General features: G+C 44.0%; 1 protein-coding gene across 10 annotated transcripts in view, besides 1 other annotated feature; it reads left to right on the top strand.

Moving 5' to 3' along the window:
• Window positions 1-2460, top strand: part of MRPL48 (mitochondrial ribosomal protein L48) — a 77260-nt gene extending 74800 nt beyond the window's left edge. For all 10 annotated transcript variants that reach the window (NR_134659.2, NR_134660.2, NR_134661.2 and 7 more), the window contains 2 exons: window positions 499-588; window positions 1623-2460. Coding sequence is in view for 6 of the 10 variants with exons in the window: in XM_047427121.1 (XP_047283077.1) it covers window positions 499-588; window positions 1623-1697 (165 nt within the window). In the remaining 4 variants the exon portion in view is untranslated. The remainder of the gene's footprint in view (window positions 1-498; window positions 589-1622) is intronic.
• Window positions 3951-4245: a silencer, noted in NCBI's record as "tiled region #5745; K562 Repressive DNase matched - State 18:Pol2". NCBI's record gives its function as "represses a minimal TATA promoter and a strong SV40 promoter by Sharpr-MPRA in K562 cells {active_cell/tissue: K562}" and the evidence as "EXISTENCE:reporter gene assay evidence [ECO:0000049][PMID:27701403]".

A 7654-nucleotide genomic window follows, 5' to 3' on the forward strand; every position in this document is an offset into this window, starting at 1 on the left:
TGGAGGCCAAAGTGGAAGGATTCCTTGAGGCCAGGAATTTGACCAGTCTGGGCAACATAGCAAGACCCTGTTTCTACCAAAAAATAAAAATAAAAAATTAGCCGGGACTGGTGGCACGTGCCTGTAGTCCCAACTACTCGGAGGCTGAGGTGGGAGGACCACTTGAACCCAGGAGTTCAAGGTTGCGGTGAGCTATGATTGTTCTACTGCGCTCCAGCCTGGGCAACAGAAAGAAACCCTGGACTTTAAAACCTCTTGGTCCAGTAATGACATCTAATGCCCACAGGAGCAGATATTGGCAGTGAACATCTCAGCACCTTGGCAGATGGCAGGAGAAATCCTGTAGAGGCCAGCTCAGAAACCAGTTTTGGTGTTAATCTTCCACGCTTGGGCTCTCCAGACTCTACTGGAGCTGGCATTTGAACCCATACCATGTCTGCCCAGTTACCTCGTTTTCAGCTCCTCCCACCTCTTAGAGCACCTTCTTTCATTTTGCAGATCAGCGGTTTGAGTGCTACGTTTGCAGAAATTTTCTTGGAAATAATCCAAAGCAGTCTTCCTGAAGGAGTCAGACTGTCAGTGAAGGAGGTAGGTGCTGGTTTGAGAAGAGGCCCCTGCTGGCCTGCATATGCTCAAAATAAGGATAAGAACATCTGGACTTCCTGGCTTTAGAAAGAACAGAGAAATGTGGATAATGTGACCTAAATAATAATCAGAAAAGTTGTACACTCTGATGACACTGTGATCATTAGTCCAGCTTCTGAGGCATCAGGGATGATGCTTTGTGGCCTATGAGTGCTGACTTTGAGCACAGCATCCTGATGTTGGTGGTGAGCCTATGAGGCCCCAGAATTCTCTCCTGTCAGGCAGTTGCGTGGAAGAAAGAACATGGGTTAAGATAGTATATGGTGTAATAAATCAGAACACAAATAGGAAAATATATGTTAGAGAAAAGGTTCCTGGATCTTCAAGGCTTGACTGTAGCTTGACTGAATATATTTCATAAAGAATGCTAGTCAATAGAATGTTTGGTCAGGCATGGAAAACTTGGAGAACATTAGGAGTCTTAGCCTAAATACTGAGTATTTGGGTCCAGTTGCCAAGATGATCCTTCTTATGACACAGATGTATGAGGTCATCTTAGATTGGTACCATTTGCTCCATCCAGCTCTGCTTGTTCTGAGTCCATCCTTGTCAAGCTTCTTCTGGTTGGTATTTGGGTTTCATACAGATCTGGGGACAGAGACAGCATGTGCTGGTCATGCTGCCTTAAAACAGTCCAATCCCTGTTTGTTTTATTTCCTATGTAAATAATTTTGGTATTCTCTCTCTCTCTCTCAAATGCTTCTATTGTGATAGTTATAGCATTTTGACATTAAATCTTCATATATCTGTCTTTTCTAACCAGACTATAAGTTCACTGAAAGCAAGGAGGAAGTCTGATTCAAGTTTGAATCCCCAGTATCTAATATAAGTCTGCTACATAGTAGATAATAAAAGTTACTTGAATCTGAATGATTCTCTACAGAGCTGGTTCAAGGGCCCTTTTTGGATGCTGTGCATATCTGGGTAACTAAAAGCTCTGCAGTAATTACCGCTTATTTTCTTTTTCTTCTCCTTAGCACACTGAAGAAGACTTCAAGGGACGATTCAAAGCTCGACCAGAACTGGAAGAACTGTTGGCCAAGTTGAAGTAGCTACTGTAGACCCTTTCATGCCAGCAGTGGTCATATTGAGTGCCAAAGAGAAGAGCTTACTGGGTAGTTAGAGTTCATCAGGAGACCCAACCCTTAGATTTCATAAGTACCCATTCCCATAGCCAGTAATGTCCTCACTCCTCTGTGGCTTGGCTGTACTTGCCATTTCTTACCACTTACCTATGAGGTAATGCTTGTTATCTTCCATCTAATAAAAATCTGCTGCAGATGTGTATATGTATGTGTGTGTGAGAGAGAGAAATTGGCCCATCCTGTGGAGTATCTTTAAGAGATTCTATATTCTGGCCAGGCACCGTGGTGCATCCCTGTAATCCCAGCACTTTGCGAGGCCGAGGCAGGAGGACTGCTCGAGGCCAGGAGCTTGAGACCAGCCTGGCAACATTCTGTCTTTACCAAAAACATTCTTTTTTTTTTTTCCGAAACGGAGTCTCGCTCTGTTGCCCAGGCTGGAGTGCAGTGGCACGATCTAGACTCACTGCAAGCTCTGCCTCCCGGGTTCACACCATTCTCCTGCCTCAGCCTCCCAAGTAGCTGGGACTGCAGGCGCCCGCCACCACACCTGGCTAATTTTTTGTATTTTTAGTAGAGACGGGGTTTTACCATGTTAGCCAAGATGGTCTCGATCTCCTGACCTCGTGATCCGCCAGCCTTGGCCTCCCAAAGTGCTGGGATTACAGGTGTGAGCCACTGCACCCAGCCAAACTTTTTATTTTAATTAGCTGGACGTGGTGGTATGCACTTGTAGTCCCACTACTCAGGAGGCTGAGGCAGGAGGATTGCTTGAGCCCAGGAGTTCAAGACTGCAGGAGCTATGATTGTGCCATTGCACTCCAGCCTGGCTGACAGAGTATGACCCTTTCTCTTAAAAAAAAAAGATTCTATTTTCTCTTTGCCTGATGCTTTAGCACAGAAGCATGTTCCCCTTCCGTATTTCTCCAACTAGAGTGAACTCATCCTTTAAAGCAATCTGGCATGGTGTCCTGTAGTGAAGCAGAGGATCATAACATAAGTAAACTCTCTATGGGTGGAAGTTGGAGAGAAGGACATTTTGGCTTTGTACATGAAAAGACTCTCCAGATAGAAACAGATTCTGCCCATAAGTGAAATAAAATGCTTTGTGGGGGTAATGAGTGACTTATAGTATTCAGGCAGATGTTACATAACTGCTAATTAAGTTTCCCTGGATTGAGTTTAAGCAAAGAATTGAAAGTTGATTTTGGTCAGGTGTCAGCAAACTACTGCCTATAAACCATATCCTACCCACTGCCTGTTTGTGTTTTTTTAAATAGTATATTGAGGTGAAATTCATACATACAAAATTACACTTTTTTTTTTTTTTGAAACAGAGTCTCACTGTGTCACCCAGGCTGGAGTGCAGTGGTGCGATCTTGGCTCACTGCAACCTCTGCCTCCTGGGTTCAAGCAATTCTCCTGCCTCAGCCTCCCGAGTAGCTGGGACTACAGGCGCCCGCCACCACGCCTGGCTTTTTTTTTTTTTTTTTTTGAGATGAAGTTTCGCTCTTATTGCTCAGGCTGGAGTGCAGTGGCGCGATCTCAGCTCACTGCAACCTCTGCCTCCTGTGTTCAAGCAATTCTTCTGCCTCAGCCTCCTGAGTAGCTGGGATTACAGGTGCCTGCCACCAAGCCCGGCTAATTTTTGTATTTTTAGTAGAGACGGGGTTTCACCATGTTGGCCAGGGTGGCCTTGAACTCCTGATCTCAGGCGATCCGCCCGCCTTGGGCTCCCAAAATGCTGGGATTAGAGGCGTGAGCCACCGCCCCTGGCCTTAAACATTTTTAAATGAGTAATTCAGTAGCATTTATTTAGTACATTCATAATGTTCTGCAGTCACCAGCTCTATCTAGTTCCAAAACCCCTCCCTGCCATTGGATCAGAGCCATGCTTATTCACTTACATACTGTCTCTGGTTGCTTTAATGTTACAGTGGCAGAGTTGGGTAGCTGTATGTGTATTGCCTCTATATCATATGGGCAATGGGCAGTGTCACATGTTTTCCATTTGGAAACCTGGAAAAAACAGTCTTTTCCAGTTGCTCAGCTGTTATCAATATGTGGAAGCAGGAATCAGGATTTCATAAACTGACAAGATAGTGGAGCTTAAGGACTTTAGGATGCAGCCAACCTAATTGTCTCTTTTAGCTAGTACAGGTTAGGGGCCCATAGAGGGCAATCCTTTGCCCAAGGTCATGGGATATGTCACTGGAAAAGGGCAGCAGGATTTAAATCTCTTGATTCCTAGTCCATCTTTTTCTATCACATCACTCAGGGATGAGTCAGGCTTCTTACACAGGAGGCAGCTGGATTCTGTCACCTTGGAGCTCTTGTGTCACTGACCTAGCTGATGATTTATCCTCTCGCCAGAGTCAGAGAACTTTTGTTGCTCATGATTAGTTTGCCCTGAGACAAAGGGAAATTACTCTTAATGCCTTATCCTGGTAAGAGGGACTGGAGATACTCTGATTGCCAGAACCTCAGGGTTACAAAACAACTGTGAGCTTTGACTCTTCTGGAGGGAGGTCCAGAAGGAAATGGATGTTCTTAGGATCACATGGCAGTGAAACCAAACGGAACACAAGTCTTCTGGCTCCAGGCTGAAAATACCTTCCCTTCCCTCCCTGAGACAACCTGCTAAAGGAAAAGAGGCAAACAAACCTGGGTTGTGCTGGCTTCCACATTTATTCATTTTGAAGCTGAGTTATTCTGGCCTCATTGAACCTCAGATTTCTGATCTGAAGAGTGAGGATAATCCCTTTTTAGGGATTTGAGATGGAGATAATATAAATATAATGAGCTAGTAATGCTCAGTAAATGTTGTATTTCCTTCCCTTCTAAAACTTCTTTGGCATACTCTTAAAAGATTTTTTTCATTGAGGTATAATTTATATATAGTGACACATAGATCTTCAGTGTACATTTGATCAATTCTGAAAATACATCTACCTACCCATGAAACCCATACTTGTATCAAGATAAAGAACATGTCCATCACCCCAAAAAGTTCCCTCATAATCATCTTTTTCTTCCCCCCGCCTCCCCTGCCCCGAGACGAAGTCTTGCTCTGTCGCCCAGGCTGGAGTGCAGTGGCACAATCTTGGTTCACTGCAACCTCTGCCTCCCGGGTTCAAGCAATTCTCCTGCCTCAGCCTCCCAAGTAGCTGGGATTACAGGCATACGCCACCATGCCCGGCTAATTTTTGTATTTTTAGTAAATACTAATTAATTTTTTATTTTTAGTTTCACCATGTTGGCCAGGCTGCTCTCAAACTGGCTGGTCTCGAACTCCTGACCTTGTGATCTGCCGGCCTCGGCCTCCCAAAGTGTTGGGATTACAGGCATGAGCCACCGCACCCGGCCATCTTTCACATTTTCCCCAAGAAGTCACGACTAACGTCGTTTCTACCGCCATAGATTAGTTTTGCCTATCTAGTACTACATATAAATGAAATATCATACAGTATGTATTCTCTTGTGCCTGACTTCATCCATTTAGCATAATGTTTTATCCCTTGTGTTCCATTATCAGTAGTTCATTCCTTCAGCATGCTTTTAGTTTTGAATATCCTAGTTGGGGTTAAATTATGCCTAGTAGTGCCATGAAATCACAAGGGATAGGTAGGAGAGAAGAAGGAATGTCAGTGGATTGGGAATCAGAATAAATGGGTTCTAATCCTGGCTCTATCAATACATAACCTTGGGGATAAACTATTTTGGTCTTCATTTTACAAATGTGTTAACTGGCCCAGGGAGAGAAAGAGACTTGTCTAAGGTCACCTAGTTAGCCAGTGGCAGAGCCAAGGATGGTTTAAGGTCACACAATTCCTGGTTGAGTGCATATTACTGAGATTTTTAAAAAATGATTTTTATGTAGATCACTATTTTTTTTTTTTTTTTTGAGATGGAGTTTTGCTCTTGTCACCCAGGCTGGAGTGCAATGGTGCAATCTCGGCTCACTGCAACCTCCGCCTCCCAGGTTCAATCGATTCTCCTGCCTCAGCCTCCTCAGTAGTTGGGATTACAGGCACCCGCCACCACACCCAGCTAATTTTTGTATTTTTAGTAGAGACAGGGTTTCACTATGTTGGCCAGGCTGGTAACTCCTGACCTCAGGTGATCCACCCGCCTTGGCCTCCCAAAGTGCTGGGATTACAGGCGTGAGCCACCATGCCTGGCCAGATCACTAACTTTCAAGAAGGATAGGATGCCTGGGTAAAATGGGCAGTTTTCCTAGTTGAGGCCAGCAGATTTCTCAGCTTCGTTTTCATCCCTTTCCTCTGGCTGAGGATGACTTGTTCCTCCACCATGGAATCCTGGGAATGGCCAGCTGTAGATTCTGAAAAGGTATGTTTTAGACACAGAGAAACAAATCTAGGTATTTTGGCCACTCAGATACTAGCAATGCTGAGGCCCCTGGGTCCCCTCTGTTTCTAGTGTACTTAAGGAAAGCTTTCTGAGCTTGTACTGGGTGTGCCTAGAACTAATCCTGATGGACAGACACTGGAGACAGAGGTGGCCAATGTGTCTTGTGCTTGTTTAATCTGTACTTTGATCTCTTTGTGAAATTTTTGTTTTCACGTGTCTGATCTTCTTGCAGAATCTGAAATGATTCATTTGACTATAATAATCCCCGTGGAGTAACTTTCATTCTCAGACATTTCAGCTCATTTTAGGAAATCAGCTCACCATTTAGACAGAGTGCCCAGGATCTGAAGAATGAAAACTCTTCAAAAGATAGCTGCTGACAGGGAGGAATCCCTGCTACTTCCTCTGCTTGCTTTAAGTCCTTGCTGAGCGAGGAGGGAGCCCCAGCATTTTCTACAGGAAAATTAAAGGATTCAATCTGGACTTGCTTCAGTTCTCTTTGGGTTTCTGAAGTCAGCAGCTCAAGGACTTAGTCTGGCAACTTTATGGAGAGAGGGTGGGAGGAGTATCTTCTTACTCATCTAGTAAAACACATTGCAGTGCACCTTTGTACCGAGCACAAGGCCAAGTCCCCAGCCAAGGACCTTGAAAGGAAGGGCTAAGGCTAAACCATGAGTCTGCCCTAGGCCTAGCCAAGATAGGCATCAAGCCAAGAGGTCTCTCCACTCATCCCTGGCACCAAGCCTCTAAGCAGAGGCAACCCAAAGCTGCCAGAGTTAGATCCTATAGGGACAGGTATGAAGCACCTTAAAGTTCAGCTCCTAGATTGTGGGCTGCAGAGCTGAGACTAAAGAAAAACATACCAAGCTATATCACTGTGGGCAACTTGCACTAATTAATTGCAAAAAGTTAATTTCCTTTTTGCAAAGTGCTGACAAAAGCAAAGTAATATTTACACAGTCAATGTGGTTACTCACTACTGTGTGTTAAGCACTGTACTGGGCAACAGATGCTTGTGAGAGTAGAGTAGAAAACAGCCTAGGCTTTAGAGCAAGACATACTTGGAGTCTGATCCCCAGTCTGAGCTTTATTTCCTCATCTAAAGGAGAGTGAATGCCATGTTCAGAGGATTACAAATTAGATTAGATAATGTAACTCAGGACAGTCACTAGCACACATTAATAGTGATGATGGTAATAGCTAACGTTCACTGAACACTTACTATGTGCCAGATGCTGTTCCTAAGCTAAACCAATGTTTAACTCAATCTTTCAATAATCCTATGAGGAAGGCCTATATTCGTTTTGAGGCTTGTGAAAAAGGTACTATATATGCATTTTTACACAGGTAAAAACAGATCCTGGGATGTTAAATAACTTGTCCAAAGTCACAAAGCTAGTCAGTGGCGTAACTAGGATGTGAAGGTAGCACATCATTGGGATTGAGAGCAGGCTCTGGAACCAGATTGTCTCAGTTAAATGCCCAATAAATTTTAACACTTTTTATTATTAGTTACGTATGTTTCATTCCCTCATTTATTTGGCTTATGACATATG

The sequence above is a fragment of the Homo sapiens genome, chromosome 11 (assembly GCF_000001405.40).
Source record: "Homo sapiens chromosome 11, GRCh38.p14 Primary Assembly".
Classification (NCBI taxonomy): Eukaryota; Metazoa; Chordata; class Mammalia; order Primates; family Hominidae; genus Homo; species Homo sapiens.